Source organism: Homo sapiens, chromosome 8 (assembly GCF_000001405.40).
Source record: "Homo sapiens chromosome 8, GRCh38.p14 Primary Assembly".
In the NCBI taxonomy this organism is placed as follows: Eukaryota; Metazoa; Chordata; class Mammalia; order Primates; family Hominidae; genus Homo; species Homo sapiens.
Window position 1 is genome coordinate 3,051,545 of NC_000008.11, and position 21,682 is coordinate 3,073,226.

The following is a 21,682-nucleotide window of genomic DNA, read 5'->3' on the forward strand; positions in this document are numbered from 1 at the left end:
CACGTAGTTCACCTATATAACAAACTTGCACATGTATCCCTGAACCTAAAATAAAGTTTTTTTTTAAAGGAGATCATTCTATATGTACTGACATGTAAAGACATACATGATATATTAAATGAAAAAGATTATAGAACCATAAAAATTCATTGTCTATACAGAAATGTTATATAGTTTTTAACTTAGAAAAATTGGGAAGTTACATTATTTCCAATTTGAGTCTAGTTTTAATATACCTGCAATGAAAATCTTGCTGTAGAAATTTAGTGTGTATGTGAGTGGAACTATTCTTCTGGTGGGTTTTGCATAACAGACTATTATTCCATAAGACTAGAGTTTCAGAAAGTACTCCAATTTGTTACTCTTTTAAGATTATTACTATAGACTGTAAATAGCTTTCTCGAAAACTTACCCCACTTCACAAATCAAATTAATGCTTTATTTACTGAGCATCGATGTGTTATGCAGAGCAGGTGATACACAAATAAATGAGGCACTGCTTTTGACTTCAAAGAACTTAAAATTATATGGAAGATAAATAGGAAAGATTGTGTTACATTATGTTTTAACATCTTGAGTACAGTCTTATTGCAGGGCTTAATGTCTCAATTTCCTCTAGATTTCATCCCTCCAGATTGAAAATGGCAGCACAGAATAGGATGTGATGTGCAAATTACATCGTGTCTATACTGTCTATATTTAGGATTCACCTAACATTCAAGAGTGCATAGCTCATTCTAAATGGCTGAAAATATTTTATATGAAATACATTGGTTTTAATATTGCTATGATGAAAGACACCAAATCCTCACAAGGTGTGGGAGAGGACCTCTGAACGTGGGAACCCGGACTTCTCCCGAAAGCATTCAGTTCCCACCTAAACCCACAAAGATGGGCAGATGCCCCTGAACACTTACGCTTACACGTGGGCGGCTTCCCCTTGTTACTCCACAACCCATCTTCTTGACACACGGCTGTTGCTTGCTGGCTGGATTCAAGCTTGAAGCCCTCATGACATTCATAGACCACTTTACTGTCCAAAGTGAACTCGTTCCCGGTAAATGAACCGTTTCCTGGGGATTCTGGGATTCCACAGGACACAGCTGAAAAGAAATGAAACAAATGTAGGCTTATTCTTACAGAAATTATTTTCCAGCTATTAAAACCATTGATTGATTAATCATTATTATTGACTCCATTTTTCATTAAAATTGTGAATTATATTTCTTTTTTTTTCTTTCTTTTTTTTTTCTGGAGACAAGAGTTTTGTGCTGTCTCCCAGGCTGGAGTGCAATGACTCGATCTCAGCTCACTGCAGCCTCCACCTCTTGGGTTCAAGTGATCAAGTGATTCTCATGCCTCAGCTTCCCAAGCAGCTGAGATTACAGGTGCACACCACCATGCTGGCTAATTCTCTATTTTTAGTACAGACTATTTATGTTGGCCAGGCTGGTTGCCAACTCCCAAACTCAGGTGATCCGTCCACCTTAGCCTCCCAAAGTGCTGGGATTACAGGCGTGAGCCACCATGCCCAGCATGAATTCTATTTCTAGGGTATGGGATAAGTATACACATTTTCAAAATCTTAAGTATATTAAAGGTTAAATGAGGAACAATGGAAAATGGGTCAGAATAAAAGCTCTTCATAATTATTTTTCTGGAAGATAAGACTGACCACTCTCATGCAGCTTAGCCGCAGTCTGACATATTTTATCAGAGGGTGTGGCCACGGGAGCACAATGTCACACACTCAACTTCATCTCATATTGGAAAGAAAGAAGAAGGGATGAAGCAGCATCTTTATCATCACAATGCTTATTGCAGTGTAGACTCTTTGGTGTCGAAATTCCTAAGAATCAGCCGCCTCAGCTCTGAAAAGTCTTCCCTTTTTATTGTTCCTCTCCCCTTCCCCAATTCATTTTCCCTAAAGCCCCAGGAAGTTCTGTTACAAGAAAACACGACATAAGGAATTGATAGAGGAGGCACTCGGGGAAGATTCCCAGGGCAGAAGGCAGCATCTAGTGGGGATGTGGACCGCTTTCACGGGAAAGACCATGCAAGAAAGAGGTATGCATGCAGATGAGGTTTTATAAAAAACAAGATTTGGGGAGAATTCTGTGTAAACCCTTTCTTCTTAAATTTGCTATGTCTGATCCAGATGTATCTACTATGGGACAAGAAAAAAATTCTCAAACGATTACATGTGACAGTCATGAAGCCAACAAGCAGGCAGAGGGTGACATTTCAATAATCACGTACCCACTTCAGCTGCACTCATAAAAGAAAAGTTCTATGGTAACTAAATAAAGAGCCTTCTTTTACTCAATCAGTATTAAAGATATTGTTCACACCATGGATTTAAATTCAGATAGTTCAAATTTTTCCCATGTAGATTCTAATGAGAATATCTGTGTAACAAGATAGAGCGGGAAGGGCTGGATGAAGAAATGTATATAAACACATAATTCTACATATAAAGAAAATGACTAACCTAAGGTGACACAATGACTTAGTAACCTCTGGCCAGAGAGCAAATCTTATGACTCCCAAACGAGACTATTCTCTCTTCTGCAAAAGCACAGGTTATCTCCGGTATTGTTGGAGTTCCTTGGTTTGCTGTATTGGTTCTTTCTTCTTTACCAAAATATTAAATAAATACAATGGGAAATTGCCAGAGAAGTAAAAGAAAATGTATTCCCCAATAAAATCCAAACTCCTGGAAATTTCAAGCTCTAAAATGTCTCATGTTTAAATGGATGATCAGGTACTGCAACCATCAAAAATACATGTGGGCCGGGCACAGTGGCTCATGCCTGTAATCCCAGCACTTTGGGAGGCTGAGGCGGGAGGATTGCTTGAGTCCAGGAGTTCTACATTAGCCTGGGCAACATGGTGAAACCCTGTCTCTACCAAAAATACAAAAATTAGGCAGATGTGGTGGCACACACCTGTTGTCCCAGCTACTCAGGAGGCTGAGGTGGATGGACTGCTTAAGCCCAGGAGACAGAGGTTGCAGTGAGCTGAAATTATGCCAGTGCACTCCAGACTGGGTGATAGAGCAAGGCCCTGTCTCAAAAACAAACAAAAAACACATGCGTGTGTGTGTGTGCACATGCATATTTACATGTGTGTACATGTGTCCATGTGCGCACGTGTGTACGTGTGTGTACATGTGTGTAGTACATGTGTGTATGGCATACTACAATAATCCATTTGCAGTAGAAGGAAAACGAAAAACCACAGACATAAAGGCATCATTTGGGGCAAAGCATTTCAAATAATAAATAATCATCTTTGGCTCTGTGGAAGCAACAGATCTGTGGGAAGACTGTTGGCATGTGGAAAATATTCATCTTAATTTCCTGAATGCAGTAAATGCCAGAGACCCATCCTTTCTTTTCTGTATCTCACAATGTTCCAATATCTAGCTTCCTCATCATTTTCTCTCAGATTTCACTCTGAAAATCACGTGTTCATGATCGCAAGCCTTAATTTTTCTCCCACTCGCTGGCTGGAATGTGCGCAGTGTTCAGCTTCCTTAAAATTCTCATTTGGGCAGAGCAGGGAAAGAAATGACATTTTTCTATCGGACGAAATGGGAAAGATGACATTCTACAAACACAGATGAAGCCCCATCACAAAACAATTCATACTCGGGAGACCAAAGCAGAAGATCTTTATAGCCCCTTCTGTTACATCTGGATGCTTATTTGAGAAGTGAACCCCTGCTTGCCCAGGTCTTAAGACAACCCATTTTATGTTGCCTGATCAACAACCGGGAATCTTTTTATGGTTTTGAACCACAGTGTTTAGCCCCTTAAGCGTCTTAACAAAAGGCTATTTGGTAGATTTAAAATAACGGTTGGCAATGGGTCAAAAGTAGAATTATAACACTTCTGATTTAATGGAGACACAGCATAATCCTTATGGACTAAAATCAGGCTCATGGGATGAAGACAGTTTCCTGCTCAAGTTTAGTATTCATTCATCTCTCATTTATTCCCAAAATTTTGCATGATTGCTATAGGATAGGCATCCATAGATCACTATTTTTTTAAAAATGCGAATTAGCATTGGCAATGTAAGAAACTTTCACAGTTTGGAGAATTTCCTTACATTTGGTATATCCAAAGAGAGTAAAATTCCTCAGTTGTTTTTTCTTTAGTTGTACTAAGGTATTATTATATGTCCCAGCAGCTTAGGCGAATAATCATTTATTGATCCTGTAAAGTTAAATTTTGTTTGGGAGCACAGGCCTCAAACTCAGACTTCTGAGTCAGTTCTTGCTGTACCTCTCAATAACAGTGTGGCTTCAGCTAACTTACTTAATGAACGTTGTCTTCTTACGCTCAGGTTATTAAGACCTATGTCAAAAGGTAATCAGGAGGGTTCAATGAAATCATCCTTACAAAATGCGAGCCCTCTGTCCACACGACATAGGCATTCAATCAATGACAAATTATTATACGCAGAAAATCTAATAATTATGTTATAGGCAGAATATGTTTTGTATTACACATACACACATAAAATTTTTACTTATTTATTTGCAAATAAAAATATTAGTTGCAAGGATTAACTCTCTGTTATCTACTTATTAAAGAGAGCAAAGAGTAAGTTGGTAGGTAGTAAGATGGCTTACTTCACTTACATATCTCATGAGAGGTGTAACAGTTTGATTTCAAAAAAGTAAGTAGAAGAGACGTCCAGTGTTGTCTGAACCTTTAATACCACAAACCCCACATGGGATTTCTTCTTTGGATATCTAAGATCCTTCAAATAGTGGTTAACTTTGTTTCCGCAGGCTTAAAACGTTTCTCTGTTTTTTTCTTTTTTTCTTTTTGAGACAAGGTCTCGCTGTCACTCAGGCTGCAGTGCAGTGGCACAGTCCAGGTTCACTGCAGCCTCAATCTCCTGAACTCAACCCATCCTCTCACCTCAGCATCCCCAGTAGCTGGGGACTACAGGCCCAGGCCACCACGCCTGGCTATTTTTTGTATTTTTTTGGAGAGACTGAGTCCCACTATGTTACCCAGAATGGTCTTGAACTCCTGGGCTCAAGCCATCCTCCTGCCTCAGCCTCCCAAAGTGCTGGGATTACAAGCATGAGCCACTGTGCCTGGCCAGCCTGAGGATTTCTGAGGATTTTTAAGTATTTCCAATGTAAGAATTTTTTATTAAAGATACGTATTTATATGAATATGTATATATAACTTTAAATATGTATACACATATGAATGTTAGGATTTTCAAGTATTTCCAAAGTATTTAAGAATTTTTTATTAAAATTATATATGTATATAGAAGTATAAATATATGTACACATATAAATGCTAATCAAAATTGTAATATAAGAATATTCTAGATTACTATCTACATAGGTTGTACTATACAATATTAGTGCCTGCCATTTGTTTTTGAGTTTATGTTCATGTTGGGCCAAGAAATAACAGTTAATTTTTTGCAGCCTAAAGAGAAAAATATTAGAGACAGATAATGGAGAAATCATGGGTTTGCTTCAAGAGAAGAATAAGTGACTATACAGAAACTTCCACAAATATAAGCCATATAATGCTTATATGGTAAGAAATGTTGAAAAGATGGACTCATTTTACACGCAAACACACACACACGTGGTAAATACCTATGAGTATCATATATAATTTTTCAAGTAATAATTGAATTTCATAAAAACATCATCATCTTAATGGTTATTTTCCTCAATTTGAATTGTGTAAGTTAAATATGCATTTAACTTGCAAATACAAATATGCACGCAAAACATTATGTTTGTATATATTTAGTAAGATTATAATCAAATAATTAAATTCAAAATCAGGGTCATTAAAACACCTTAGGAAACACTAACTTAAGGGAATCATCAACTATATGTGTATTTGCAGGTATGTGTGTGTGTTTGTGTATATATATATGTATACACACTTATAGCTATATGTCTGAGAAAACATATATAAGTACATATGTGTAATTATGTCTTATTTTATACATGATTTTATAGTTATAGTGTTTTCACATCATGCTTTTTTACTTAATTTTCACTACAAGCCTATTAGATACAAACGTTATTCGACTTTCTTACAGATAAAGTTACAGATGCTAACATTTTTTATATCATTTTCCCCAAGTCTAATAGTCATTAAAAGGCTGAGGCCTCAAAACGGTTCTGCTGAATTCAGGTAGACTTTCTCATCCCATTACTAAAGATGCCCGGACTATTGTGATTATGTATTTTCAATTTTAAATCTATCAGATTAGTCTTCACTGAAGTTTTCATAATTTCATTTTCAGTTTAAAAATTTATAGTGGTTCCTTATTTCCCGCGACACTGAACAAAAACTACATTTTTTGTCTTCAAACCTCACCAAAACCTTCCCCTACTCTCCGTAACTTTCCACCGCCTGGCCAGCAGACCCTCGCCAAGTATCCACGCCGCCCAGTCGGCTTATTCTCACTTTCTTGCCTTAGTTTTCTCTGGGTTCTTCCGTTCTACCCCAAATATTCTTCTTATTCTGCACCTATTTAAGCCTACTCTAGAGCAGAAAATTGGCTTCAACCAGCGAGTCCTATTCTCATCTGATTGGTAGTGCTATTGTGTGCAACTGTTTGTAATTTAGCAAATATTTATTTAAATAAAAATATTGCTTCACAAAGTTATATATAACTGCACTTTCTATAGTTGTCTGTATTAAATTACCGTGTGCATTGTCTTCTTAAAATTACTAGTACTTTAAAAATAAATATCAATGCTGCTTCAACAGATCTGTGCATTCTGAGGCCCATGAAACCAGAATATTAGACCCGTATTTGTGGGTAGACAGTAAATATATACAAATATTTTGCAATCATTACAATTTGCATTACCAACTTTCTTGATACACGAAAACAATCACTAGTTAATTTTTCAATAAACATGATCCTTTTTGGTGCTAATTGCTGACAAATGGTTTAATCGCAACATATAAGGTGCTAAGACAGGAAAAAATACACAGTTGTCGATTTACCATGCAATAAATACCAGGCCTCTAGAAAGAATGTTTGTGCCACAACTTCTCAAACATTAATGTGCTCCTTATCCCCAGGCCATGCTGATGGCACTAATATCCTGATGAAGTACATCTGGGGGAGGGGGAGATTTGAGACTCTACTTTTCTAACAGGCTGCGTGGTCTCGGAGGAGCAAGGATTTAGACTATCCTAAATGCCCTAGGGAGGCTGCTAAGCCTTTGCCCACACACGGTTTACAAACACCTGCTATATAATTCCCCTGCTGAGTGTCCTAGCAGGATCCACACAAATGCCTCAAGTACCCTGCAGGGACCTCCCACCTCCTCCTCCATTCTGAAGGGTTTACTACCCCTTGCTGCTTCTCTGAATGCACTTTGCTCAACAACCAGCCCTCTCTTTAAAAGGAAGGTGTGATGTTGGATGTTGACATGTTTGGGGAAAGGAGGATGTGTTGGTGATTTTTTTTTCCGCTAACCCTGCGCTAAAGTGAGAATCCTGTTCCCCGCATGTGTCTCCTCACTATTGGATGAGACCATAGGAGACGCTGCAAGTGCAAATGAAGGTCTCCCCATCCCATCAAAGCGTATTTTAGCACGACTATTAATAATAATGGCTTGTTAAGAACTAAAAAAAAATAAGGAAAAATATTAAAAGTAACATAAGAAGCAGGCACCCCAGACATCAAAAAAAAAAAAAAAGTGCCCTTAAAAAACCAGGATAAACGTTTACCAAAAACACGAGGGCTTCTGTCTTTATAAGGTGATCCTTGCACTCCCTTCCCTGCACAACTTTTTCTCTGCTTTTCTCTGCAACAACTCATGCTTTTTAAGCAACATCCTCAGGACAGCCTCTCAGTTAACAGTTTTCGAGAAATGATTGTCATGTGGGCTGTTTGTGAGCCGCTGTGAAGCGAAAATGCTGTGGGATAAGCTGGAGAGGAGAGGAGGGGACACACGACTCAGGGCCCAGGTGACAGGCATGTAGCTTATAGGAGGCACGTCAGGACACCCTTCAGAGTTTGAAGATGGGCAGTGACACCAACTCATTTGTGACCTGATAAAACCCTCTGGTTGCCATCAGGAGATGAACGGAGAGAGGGTCCTGAGTGGGGCAGACGTAGGAAGCCCAGTAGGGCAGCCCATGAGAGAGAGGAGAGTGGACTGGGGGAGGGGAAAGATGTGGATGGACTTGGACCCACTGAGTAGCTGGGACCAACAGGGTGTGGGAGTCACAGGAAAGACTTTATGTGCAAGCAAGAGAGAGAAGTGATTCAAGCAGTTGGATAGACTGAGATGCTAATTTCTCAAACGGGATTCACTTCAGGGCAAGTAGATTCAGGGGAGAAAGGAGTTTTATCTTAGCAGTGGGATCGTGAGGCACAGTGGGTACTGCAATTAGGCAGTGGGTATTAGGTCTGGAACTGAGAAGGAAGGGCAGGCAGCAAGTGAAGACCATGAAGTATTTCTAACATTTACCGCAAACTGGAATAAAGTACTTTCCGGCTCTTTCTATGCCTTATTCAAATTGTGAGATTACATAGCTAAGACTATACATTGAGCCTGTCCTAAAAATTACTAACAACTTTTTTTTTTTTTTTTCTGAGTCTCACTCTGTCGCCCAGGCTGGAGTGCAGTGGTGTGATCTCAGCTCACTCTAACCTCCACCTCCCGAGTTCAAGCGATTCTCCTGTCTCAGCCTCCTGAGTAGCTGGGATTACAGGCGTGCACCACTGTGCCTAGCTAATTTTTGTATTTTTAGTACAGACAGGGTTTCACCATGTTGGCCAGACTGATCTTGAACTCCTGAACTCCTTGAACTCCTTGAACTCCTGAACTCCTTGAACTCCTGAACTCAAGTGATCCACCCACCTTCGTCTCACAAAGTGCTGGGATTATGGGCATGAGCCACTGTCTATTAACAACTTTTAAATAATAAAAAATTACTATTAGAACAGACCACTTACTTGGCTAGGAAGTTAGACTTGCTCACAGGCATGATTGTTGTAAGTTGGTTTACAAGCACTTGAAATTTGATTTCAGAGACTTAAATTCATGTTTCACTTTCTCCATCAACTTGTGCTATGGAAACAATCAGGTATTTCAAATCTGATACAGGTGATAGCCCCCATCATGCTTTGAATGCATCTCCTCCAAAATTCAGTTTTCAATATGATAGTATTAAGAGGTGGGGCATTTAAAAGGTGATCAGGTCATGAGAGCTCTTTCTTTGTGAATGGGATTAGGTGTCCCTATAAAAGGGCTTTATGGAGCAGAGTCATGCCATTTTGTCCTCCTGCCTCCTGCCATGTGATGACACGGCATTCCTCTCTCCGGAGGAGAGATGCTGTGGGTATGCTGTGAAGTGTCTGTCAATTTCAGCTTCATGTTTGTTACCTCAAAGTGAACAATGGTGTGAAACCATGATCAAATATGCACATATATGTGTAGGAACTAAAGATTTGTATAGTTATTTTATACTAATGTTTATAATATGTTATAGAAACAGAATAGGATGCTTGAAAGAACATAGATTTAGACATAGCAAAGTCTGAGTTTGGTATTTGTCTGTTTGTTTATGACTCGGACAATGTATATAAAGTATCCAAACCTTTGCTTCCTCACCTGCAAAACACAAATCACCCATACCTCCTCAGCAGGGGTTCTTTGACAGATGTACAGTTTACAAAGCAAAACATCTGGACCCTACTAGGCCAGCAGCAAATAGTCACATTTATTATTTTGTCATGAGAAATAATAATTTTCCTTCAGATTTAATGTAAAAGAAAGCATTTTTCTGGTTTTTAAATGAAGGTCAGCTAAAACCTAAATAAATATGAAAGAATATTTTTACTTTTCATCAGAATGTTCGGGACATTTACCATCAAATGTTTTCTCTGCACCGTGGATATCCCCTTATGCCACTGTCAATGGAATTTAGGATGCACTCGAGCAAACACTGGGAGACGTGAAGCTTAATCCACAGTTGGCCAGGGGTTGACAGTGTCTCCTCAATCATATGACATCTTGAGCTTACACGAACCAGCACCGATCCATATACAATAAAGCACTGACCCCATGACTCAGAAAGTCATATACACAGGTGGTAGAAATGACAAAGTTATAGCGAAATCTCTATGTTTCAACATTACTGCCTTTATCAGTATAATATCTGACATCATTGATCAAATACAAATTCCCTGCCATTGTGAAAAGTTTTTCTAATTGCATTACTTCATTTAATCTTGGTAACACCCTACAAGATAGACTCTATTTTTTTTATTACTTGTAAGAAAAGTGGGCATTAGAACATTATGCAAATCACCCACATTCTTATGACTAGTAAACGGCTCTGTGAGGGGTCAGATATCAGAGTAGCTGATGACGAAGCCTGCCTTTCAGTTACTCTCCTGTGCTGTCTCTGGGCTACACCTGACTTATTTCACCATATGTATATTTACTGTTATTTTCAATGTCCACCTATCAACATTCAATCAATCACTTAGAAATACATTTTCAAATATGATTCTGAAAATACAAAGGCCACATTGAATTTGAGCATTAATGGGAATATTTCTGGGTCCTTTCTTTTTTTTCTATTTTCCTCCCTTATCTTTGATTTCCAAAATATTTTCTTGGAATAATTAGGCACCAAGAAACATCTTATTTGACATGTAGCCATCATCCAATATACCATTAATACCATGCTGAAGGCTGAGATAGAAAATAACAGCAAGAGAGGAGGTGCAGTACGGAGCCACCTCTCCACCCACGGGGATAGAACTGGTCACACTGCTTTTCTTTACTATGTGTAGGTGGTGCGATGTCGGGTGTTTCCAAGGAGTAAACACCAGCAACAGAAATATTCTTCCGTTTGTTTGAAAGGATAAAGAAAAGTGTGTCTGAAAATGAATGTCCATAGAGGGAACTAATGACTTGGCTTTTGCAGACACTAAAGCAAACTTAAAAACAACAACAAAACAAAACACATTAAAAAAAAAAAAGCCCAGCAGCTATGAAATGCAAAATTGAGGATAATAGGATTGAGCGAGAAGTATCTTTAGATGTTCTAATCCTCTTGAAAATATCTAGCACTTCATAACCCAAGGAAGAAAAAAAAGCATTTATGAATTTGAAACAGACAAAAAAGCTATGAAAAAGAAGGCAGCAGAATAGGGTTGGCAAATAAACAGCTAATTATTACAGTGAAAGGCTCTGGCTTGGCAAATAAAGCCTCTAGAATGTTTACTCAGGGGTAAATTGGCTGCTCAGCCAAAGCTGTGCAAGTAACTGACTTTTACCCATCTACTTTTAGAGTGTTGTTCAAAAGAGACAGGTACAAACATTTTTAAACTGTCTTTTTTTCGGAATATAAAACAAAGATTTATTCAATAAAAAGAAAATTCCTAGAGAAAAAAAGCTGGAGGAACGTAAAGTGACACTGCTGTGTGTCATAAAAAACTCTGATTCGGATGCCAACCACCAATGTCCTATGGAACCCAAGAGTCCCAGGCTCACTAAGCATTTAATCAATCTCGTATCATAAAAACTTACAGAAGGATTTTATGCACGCTCTTTGTGGCCGATTTCAAAGGGAATCTGCATTTTGGAGCCTATCCTCATCCTCCCTGATAAGTGGGCTTGTTGGGCATACTCTGGTAAACTAGTCAAGCCCAGAAGCACATGTTGTCTCTGATAATGAACAAGTGACTTAACCTATTTCAGCTTCAGTTTTACCTTCTGCAAAATAAGAATAAAAACGATAGCAAAAACTAGGAAATAATGAGTGCTGACAAAGATGTGATAAAATTGAAACCCTTGTGTACTGTCAATAGGACTGTTAAACAATACAGCCACTGTTGATGACCTATGGTGGTTCCTCAAAAAATTAAAAATAGAATTACCATATGATGCAGAAATTGCACTTCTGGCTAAATACCCAAAAGGATTAAAAACTTGTACAGTTATGTCCCTAGTAGCATTATTCACAATAGCTAAAATATGAAAGCAATCGAAGTGTCTGCCAAGAGATGAATGGCTAAACCAAATGTAGCCTCTACACACAGTGGGTTATTACTCAGTCTTAAAAAGGAAGGGAATTCTGACACACCACATGCTACAACATGATGATCTTGAAGACACTATGCGAAGTGAAGCCATAAAAAGACAAATACTATGTGATTCTACTTATGTGAGGTGCCTAGAGTAGTTGAATTCAGAGAGACAAAGTAAAATGATGGCTTGTAGGGGCTGGAGGAGGAGGAATGGGAACTTGTTTAATATGTGCAGAGTTTCAGTTTTGCAAGTTAGAATAGTCCACCAGAGATGGACAGTGGTGATGATTATACAACCTTGTTAATGTACTTAACACCACTGAACTGTACACTTAAAAATGAAAAATAATAACTATATGCCACAGATGCACGGTCATTAGGATAAAGTTAGATAGGGAACATTAAGTCTTGCTGCACAATAGCCAATCAGTACTTTTCAATTTTCATTCTCTTTCATTTACAGGTGAAGAAATGAAGCAGCAAGCACAGCTCAAGCTGCCTCTTAGAGGACACAGGTTACTGAATACGTTTTCAACAAAATGAACTTTCAAGGCCTGATAAATTCTCAAAACATTGATCTGAAGTTTGGCTACATATTAAAGATATGATTTGGATTTGTGTACCTGCCCAAATCTCATGTTGAATTGGCGGGGCCTGGTGGGAGGTGACTGGATCATGAAGGCAGCTGTTCTCATGATGGTGAGTGAGTTCTCAGGAGATCTGATGGTTTGAAAGCCTGTGGCATTTCGCCCCTAGCTCTCTCCCTCCTGCTGCCATGTGAAGAAGGGACTTGCTTCCCCTTCGCTTTCTGCCATGATTGTAAGTTTCCTGAGGCCTCCCAGCCACGTTTCCTGTACAGCCTACAGAACTGTGAGTCAATTAGGCCTCTTTTCTTCATAAATTACCCAGTCTCAGGTAGTTATTTCTAGTAGTGTGAGAATGGATTAATACAATTAATAAGAATAGTAAACACAGAAAATAAAGAAGAAATAAACATATGATCCAAACGTGGAAGGTTGATAAGAATGTTGACTACAGTAAGCAAACCAGCTGCTGAGAATAAAAACATCCCCGCATTTTCTCAAAGTTGGCCATTACAAATCCTTACATGGTTTTGCAAGAAATGCTTTATGGGTTCTTTCCGAAAATGTGATTCTGATTATTTAGAAATAACCAGCATGAGGTTAAGCAAATTCCAACTTAAAATCTCAATAAAGTAGGCATTAAAGACAAGTTAGGGGCTTAGTTTCAGAATCAAGGACCAAAAATCTTTTTTTTTCCTTTTATTCCCAGGGTATAAGCAATGTGGAAGGGAGAAAATTAGAGAACAAAACTTTGAAAACGAGTCTATTCCATGTGCACTGGGAAACATGGCTGGAGGAGTTTGCCCATGCTTCCTTCTCCAGTGGGTCAGGCTAACTTTTTACTTAATGGAAAAAGTAAACAAACAGATGTACCTGGACTAGAATCTTCACAGGCACATCTAAAGAAGAAATAAACCTGGAAATCCTCATTTCATAAATAAGCAAATAATGTGTCTATCATTAAATTTCAAAAAGAAAAATATATAAAAAGAAAGATATATAGTGATAGATAAATGACAGATGATAGAGTAGATAGAAAGATAGGAACATACACAGAGAGGAAGACTGGAATATGATACATAGATAGATAGATAGATAGGTAGATAGATAGATAGACAGACAGACAACAGATAGAAAGATAGATACATAGATAAGTGGATAGATAAATAGGTCAAAAGAAAGATAGAAAGGTAGATGGATAGATTGCTAAATCAGTAGAGAGATGATAGGAAGATAGATACATACAGAGAGATATAGATAGAAAAATGATAGACAATAGGAAGATAGATATATATAAAGAGATAGGAAGATGATAGGAAGATGGATACACAGATGGATAGTTATATAGAAAGGAAAATGATAGATGATAGATACATAGATACACAGATCGATAGGAAGATAGAAAGATAGGAAGATGATAGGAAGATAGATTGATAGATAAAAAATGACAGATTGATTGATCAATCGCTAGGTTGATTGGCAGGAAGACAGAGAAAGAAAGATGATAGATAGGAGATAGCCTACAAAGCATCTGATAAGTATTTTCTCAAAATATAAAAGGAAAATTAGGCATAAACTAAAATGCATGGATAAATCAAAAGTATTAACAAAGCTGAGAAACTAGATTCCCTAGTGATAAAAGGCAAGTAGCAGAAACCATAAAATCTGGCTCATTATAAATGAAAATGAGTGAAGAGCGTAGTTTCTACAGCTTTGAGGTTATCACCCACTAAGCCAGCCAGAGTCTTTCTCCGAGCACTAAATAAACTATAAGCACAATGGCAAATGACTGTTCAGTCATTTAAATGAAAAATTCATAATAATGGGCCAACTTTCCAACCATATTTCCAAAGGTTACAGAAAAATTGTCTATTGGCAATTAGAGAAATTGCCAAAGGACAATTCAAAGGAGTGCGGGCCTATTGAGGTCTGTCCCTGCTTCCAAGGGCTGCTGGTTCTAGCATCGTGTACAATTCTCTTGGCACTTAAACTCCGCTTCATTAACTTTTCTACTACAACAGCTAATGAAATGAAGCATTTCAATATCCAAACTCCAGTAATTATTTAAAACAGATTTAGATTCATTCAAATAAATGACTCCATGAAAATCTCATAGTTTTAGCTCTATTTGAAGCTCAACATGGTCAGAGAATAAGTCACACATATGAAGATACAGAGAATCAGTGACAGAACTCAAATGAGAACTCCCTTCTTGCTGACTTTTCCATTACGCATTTGAACAGACCCTGCAGCCAACAAGAATTCATTACGCATGCAGGTAAAATGAACTGACGACATGTATTTTGAAGTGGACTCTGGGGGTCCTTTAATTCTTGAGTAATCATGGCTTCCTTGTGATATTTTGTCTTAATTTCTGAGGAATTTCAAATACAGACAGACAAGAGAGTAATAGCTTTAGTAAAACAATAATCACCTGTTTTAAAAACACAGGACACAATCGTATTTGTCAAATGGCTCTGTAGATTCCAAACAGACTGAAGGCTGGTCATAAGGGAGATTACCAATTCTGATAATTGCATGGTAATGGAAACTCCACGGAGAACAGAAAACTGAGCTACACAGAAAATTGGAAACTCTTATTTAAGCTCATTTCTCCACAATTCCTCTGGCCTCAAAAATGCATGGAATGAAGTGTCAGAGTTATTAACAGTTAATATGAAATTATTACTTGTAGTGTCTTTGATCAGGCTAAGTAGGAGCTTCTAGTTAAGAGAAGTTGATGGGTGTAATTAAATTGCTAATAAAGAGGTACAGACTGACGAAAATCCACAAAGGCTTTCAGAGGTTAACTGATTTACCACCCCTCCTTCAACCTCATCTCTTTCGCTCAGCCTGTGCCAGGTGCTAAGCCTGGGGCCTGGCACAGAACAAGAGGTCAATACAATCAGTCTACGGAATGAATGGACCCCACGTATGCACCTCTCGACCTGTCTGAGAGTGTCAGCCAACAAGGTGCGTGGCAATGTTATTCCCAGGCCCCATGCGTGAGACAGGAGATACCATGATACTCTGTCTCTTATCGTGACGTTTTTCCACCATTTCCACCATGTACAAATCATTACCAGACGCTCTCACTTCCTTTGTGCCTCAAATGCCCATCTTTTGACCTCGATGCCTCCCCGCACTCCAAGCATAGCCATCTCATCATAGTCCACTGTAGCTTCCTTGCAGGCTCATGCTTCTTTCAAGTTGGAGGAGATTATATTGGTTTACTGAAGCAAGTCCCATTTCAGAAGCAGAAACATTGAATGATTTTCTCCAGGTCCACACAGACATTTAACAGTAAACTGAGAATCAGAATTTAAACCCCAGTACTCCTGATCTAAAGTGAGCTCAACTCTAATGTCACCATCCTTCTCACCATATTAATGTATAATATATAGTATATAATATATAAATATATAATAACATTGATCAACATTCTTCAATTAACATATAATAAAAATTTATATTCACTAACTAGATTGTATATGAAATATACAATAAACGAGTGGTTTTAACAATTATAGTTTATATCAAATATTAATGTTTAATAATAATAATTTTACAACTTTATGGTTTCTATCCTTGGTTCCATGTGCTGTAATTACCTAATTTATCTTACTGAATTCTCATACTAACAATATGAGTCAATATTATTACCCTCCATTTTCAGGGGTCACTGTTGTCCAGAAATATTAGATGATTTATCCAGAGTTCATCTAGTAAGGGGTAAAGCCAGACTCTAATCCAAATGTCCAGCTCTGAAGTGTGTGTTCCTTCCCAATAACAGAATGGCTTTTTGTTGTAATAAATAAAATAAAAAATATTTTATGGTTTGCCTTTTCCCTTATATTTCTATCCAAAAGGGAAATCTCACTGCATGTGTCACTAATGCCTCAATTATTTCAGATTTTTCAAAATGGCTTGAACAGAGGTTCAAACACTGTCTCAGGTAGTTTTCACCATTTCTCTCTGTGGTAATTTTCTTCTTGTCATTTCTAAAAAATGTGAAAACTTTCTTCATAGATTTGCTCATGTTCTTTTTTCTTTTTTCTTTTTGCAGTATGTTGAATCCCACAGGCTTCAAAGAATATGTCACTTTTTCACCTAACATAATTTACCACTCACTTTGTGTAGAAAACCATGACTTTTTTAGACTCTCCAAGACTCAGGACTTCTAACAAAAAATCCCCACACTTCACATCATGGAAACTAAGGAAAAGTCTGTTGCATTCTAAATTCCATTAATGACATAATATTAATAAATAAATACATATGCACATGTGTATTAGGCCATTCTCGCATTGCTATAAAGAAATACCTGAGACTGGGTAATTTATAAAGACATTTAGTTGGCTCATGTTTCTGCAGGCTGTACGGGAAACAAGGTGCTGGCATCTGCTTGGCTTCTGGGGAGGCCTTAGGAATCTTTCAAACATGGCAGAAGGCCAAGGGGGAGCAGGCTTCTCACACGGCCAGAAGAGGAGCAAGACAGAGTTGAGGGGGAAGTGCCACACACTTTTAACTGAACAGATCTCGTGAGAACTCACTATCATGAAGACAGCAATAAGTCGTGAGGGATCCACCCCCATGATCCAAACATCTCCCACCAGACATTACCTCCAGCATTGGGGATTACAATTCAACACGAGATTTGGGCAGGGACAAATATCCAAACTATATTATTTCTCCCCTGACCCCTCCCAATTCTCATATCCTTCTCATATTGCAAAATAAAATCATGTCTTCCCAACAGAAGCCAAAAGTTCATAACTCATTCCAGTATTAAGCCTCATCTGAGACAAGGAGAGACAAGGCAAATCCCTTCCATTTATGAACTTGGAAAATCAAAAATAAGTTTGTAGCTTCCAAGATACAATGGAGATATAGGTATTGGGCAAACTTTCCCATTCCAATAGGGAGAAATTGGCCAAGAGAAAGGGGCTGGGCCGGGCGCAGTGACTCACACCTGTAATCTCAGCACTTTGGTAGGCTGAGGCAGGTGGATCACGAGATCAGGAGCTTGAGACCAGCCTGGCCAACATGGTGAACACCCTGTCGCTACTAAAAATACAAAAATTAGCTGGGTGTGGTGGCAGGCATCTGTAATCCCAGCTACTCGGGAGGCTAAGGCAGGAGACTCACTTGAAACTGGAAGGTGGAGGTTGCAGTGAGCCAAGATCACACCACTGCACACCAGCATGGGTGACAGAGTGAGACTCTGTCTGAAAAAAAAAAAAGAAAAAGAAAAAGAAAGGGATTACATGCCCCATTCAAGTTTGACACCCAGCAGGGCAGTCAGTAAATCTTAAACCTCCCAAATAACTTCCTTTGACTCTGTCTTACATCCAGGGCACACCACTACAAGGGGTGGTTTCGCAAGGCCTTGGGCAGCTTTGCTTCTGTGGTTTTGCAGGGAGCAGCCCCCAAGGCTGATCTCAGCAGCTGGAGTTGAGTGCCTGTGGCTTTTTCATGCTGAGGGGGCAAACTGCTTGTAGATCTACCATTCTCAGGGTCTGGAGGGCAGTGATCCCTTCTCACAGCTCCACTAAGCAGTGCCCCATTGGAGACTCTGCATGGGGTTTCAACCCCACATTTCCCTTGGCACTGCCCTAGTAGAGGTTCTCTGTGAGGGCTCTGCACCTGCAACAGGCTTCTGCCTGGATACCCAGGGTTTTTCATACATACTCCAAAATCTAGGTAGAGGCTATCAGGTACTCTTCATTCTTGCATTCTGCGCACCTACAGGCTTAACGCCACACGGAAGCTGTCAAGGTGTATGGCTTGCACCCTTCGGAACGGGGTCTGAGCTGCACCTGGGCACTTGTGATTCAAAGATGGAGCCAGAACAGCCAGTATGCGGAAAGCAGCATCCTGAGGATTCACAGGGCCGTAGGGCCCTGGGCCTGGCCCACAAAATCATCTTCTCCTCCCAGGATTCTAGGTCTCTGATGGGAGGGTCTGCCATAAAGGTCTCTGAAATACCTTCAAGGCCTTTTCCCCATTGTTTTGGAATATTAGCACTTAGCTCCCTTTTAGTCATGTAAATTTCTCTAACAAGTAGCTGCTCCACAGCCTTCTTGAACTCCTCTTCTGAAAAAGCTTTTTTCTTCCTCTGCCACACGGCCAGCCTGCAAATTTTTTAAACTTTTATGCATTGCTTCCTGCTTAAATGTAAATTTCAACTTTAAGTCATTTATTTGCTCCTGTATTTGAACATAGGCTGTATAAAGCAGCCAGGCCACATCTTGAATGTTTTGCTGCTTTGAAATTTCTTTAACCAGATACCCAACTCATTATTCTGAAGTTCAAAGTTCCACAGATCCCTAGGGAAGGGGAAAGATGCAGCCAAGCTCTTCACTAAGGCATAACACACATGACCTTTGCTCCAATTCCCAAGAAGTTTCTCATTTCCATCTGAGACCCCATCAGCCTGGTCTTCATTGTTTATATCACCATTAGCATTTTTGTCACAACTATTTACCCAGTCTCTAAGAATTTACAAACTTTCCTTTATCTCCCTTTCTTATTCTGAGGTTTCCAAACCTTCCCAACCTCTGCCTGTTACCCAGTTCCAAAGCTGCTTCAACATTTCCAGGTATCTTTATAGCAATGTCCCACTCCTTGGTACCAATTTTCTGTATTAGGCAATTCTTACATTGCTATAAAGCAATACCTGAGACTGGGTAATTTATAAGAAAAAGAGGTTTGATTGGCTCATGGTTCTGTGGGCTTTATAGGAAGCATGGTGCTGGCATCTGTTCAGCTCCTGGGGAGACCTGAGGGAGATTTTAATCATGGCAGAAGGCCAAGGGGGAATAACCATGTCACACTGTCACAGGGCCAGAACAGGAGCAAGAGGTGGGTGGGGATGCCACACACCCAGGTCTCAAAAACACTTATTATCATGAAGATAGCACCAAGCCATGAAGGATCCACCCGCTTGATCCAAACACCTCTTTCCAGGCCCACCTCCAGCATTGGGCATTACAATTCAACATGAGATTTGGCCAGGGACAAATATCCAAAATATATTAGTATGTATATAATTTCATGCTGAAAGGATCATTAAAATGTAAGTGGGAGATGAACAATGAGAACACATGGACACAGGGAAGGGAACATCACACACCGGGGCCCATCACGGGGTGGGGAGCAAGAGGAGGGAGAGCATTAGGACAAATACCTAATGAATGCAGGGCTTAAAACCAAGATGGTGAGTTGACAGATGCAGCAAACCACCATGGCACATGTATGCCTATGTAACAAACCTGCACATTCTGCACATGTATCCCAGAACTTAAAATAAAAAATAAAATGATAAAATGTATGTCTAACATACATTTTTAAAAATAGAAACTCAAGCCATATGCCCCAAAGTAATTTTCAACCTCAAGTGGATTATTTCTCACATGATTTTCAAATTTAAAAATAAATGCAATATTCATTCCATTTGAATGCATAAGGCTTTTTGGAAAATGTGAGCAAAAAAACTACCATTCATCAACACCATTACAGCCACTAATTCACCTGACATCAAAACAGCCTAAATGCAGACAGTCCATCTGAACTCTACTCCATGGATTCATTGCAAATACGTCATTTCATATATTTATAATTTGGTCACCAAACCTGTCCAGTTATGAAGGCAGCATCTATCACAGAACACTGCACCATGTGCACATAATTGAAACTCCTGTGCCCCTCAGTTGATCTCTACTGTTTTACTCCTCATGACACCTGGAAGCAACCCTTCCAGTAAAAGAAATGCGCATGTATAATCCACTGGTCTATTAACAGAAAACAAGCATGGTAAATGATTTTCTGGATAATGCATTCCATACAATGCTCGTCTAAGTTATTTTTTAGAAGAAAATCAATAGTACCTCAGAAAGGTTCAAGAGTAAGAGTGAATGGCAGAAAGTCTCGAGTCTCAGGGCATCTGAGATCAATTCTTCCGGAGTCTATGTCTGCACAGATTCAAACTATTACAATTAGAGGTCGAAAGTTTTGTTTACAAACTTTTACATGGAAGAGTCCAATTAATGATTTTCTCTATTAAGCTGACCAAACTAGGAGTATGGAACCGAAGAATATATCAAACCAATCCACAAAACAAATGCTCTGAATTAGAATCAACAATGAAGATTTTAACAATTAATTATCACCCTCTAAAAAAGCATAGCTAAGAACAAGCTTCAGAATTTTTTTAAACCAGTCATAGAATAAATCAATATGCCAAGGAGGTATTATTTTAAAGAATATTATGTTAATATGAACCAGAAAATGTTCCACCAAGCTTGTCATGTCATGGTCAAAATACTTGGAAGAGCACAGTTCTTGGCGTAGGTGTTTATGTGCATGTGTGCCTGGGTTTCCAGCCCAAATTAAAGAGCTGTTGGAACACCCTCAGATGTTTCATTTGTGGGCCTCCTTTTAATAGTATCCCAATTTTAATTAGCACTAGGGAAGCAGATGTGGCAGAGAAACGATGCCAAGAATCTGAACTTTTCATCTCCACTTGGAGTGAAGGCATGAGGTTCTTCCATTTCAGTGCATAGCATCGTATTGGTTAGCACAGCTTGCCGAATATCTGAATACTGGTCGATGTATATATATAGGTGTGTGTGTGGTGCCCACTTTTCAGTATTAATGGGAACATAAATATCATGTTAATTCAGAGTAATGCAAAACCCAGTATTTGCCTTCAAGTGTCAGATAATATTAAGAATAGACAAAATTGGCTTGGAAAAATCTCCCCAGTCAACTCTTCTCCTAATGAAAAATAAAATCATAAAATTAATTTTTTCCACTCTTTTTTGTAAAAATGAAATGCAACCCTCCCAAATTCCCAGTGCTATTTCTTAAAGTTAGTTAAAATGATGCTAAAGTTCTTAAATAAATACAAAAGTCCTATTGTCTCTGATGAAAACTTTGCAAATAGAGTGAGGAAAATGACTTGAATGCATTTGATATGAAAACATATTATTGTTATTTCAATTAAAGCACTATGGACTTGG

The 21,682-nt window shown here is 38.7% G+C and overlaps 1 protein-coding gene across 5 annotated transcripts in view, besides 2 other annotated features; it reads right to left on the bottom strand.

Annotated features, from left to right (window-relative positions):
* Positions 1–21,682, bottom strand: part of CSMD1 (CUB and Sushi multiple domains 1) — a 2,059,554-nt gene that overhangs the window by 116,184 nt on the left and 1,921,688 nt on the right. For all 5 annotated transcript variants that reach the window (XM_011534752.3, NM_033225.6, XM_011534753.4 and 2 more), the window contains one exon: positions 918–1,103. In XM_011534752.3, coding sequence (XP_011533054.1) covers positions 918–1,103 — 186 coding nt within the window. The remainder of the gene's footprint in view (positions 1–917; positions 1,104–21,682) is intronic.
* Positions 6,965–7,681: an enhancer, noted in NCBI's record as "NANOG hESC enhancer chr8:2916031-2916747 (GRCh37/hg19 assembly coordinates)". NCBI's record gives its function as "activates a minimal SCP1, AML or CMV promoter by ChIP-STARR-seq in naive H9 embryonic stem cells {active_cell/tissue: H9 hESC(naive)}" and the evidence as "EXISTENCE:reporter gene assay evidence [ECO:0000049][PMID:30033119]".
* Positions 19,332–19,540: a silencer, noted in NCBI's record as "fragment chr8:2928398-2928606 (GRCh37/hg19 assembly coordinates)". NCBI's record gives its function as "represses an EF-1alpha promoter that drives an FKBP-Casp9 reporter gene in an ReSE screen in K562 erythroleukemia cells {active_cell/tissue: K562}" and the evidence as "EXISTENCE:reporter gene assay evidence [ECO:0000049][PMID:32094911]".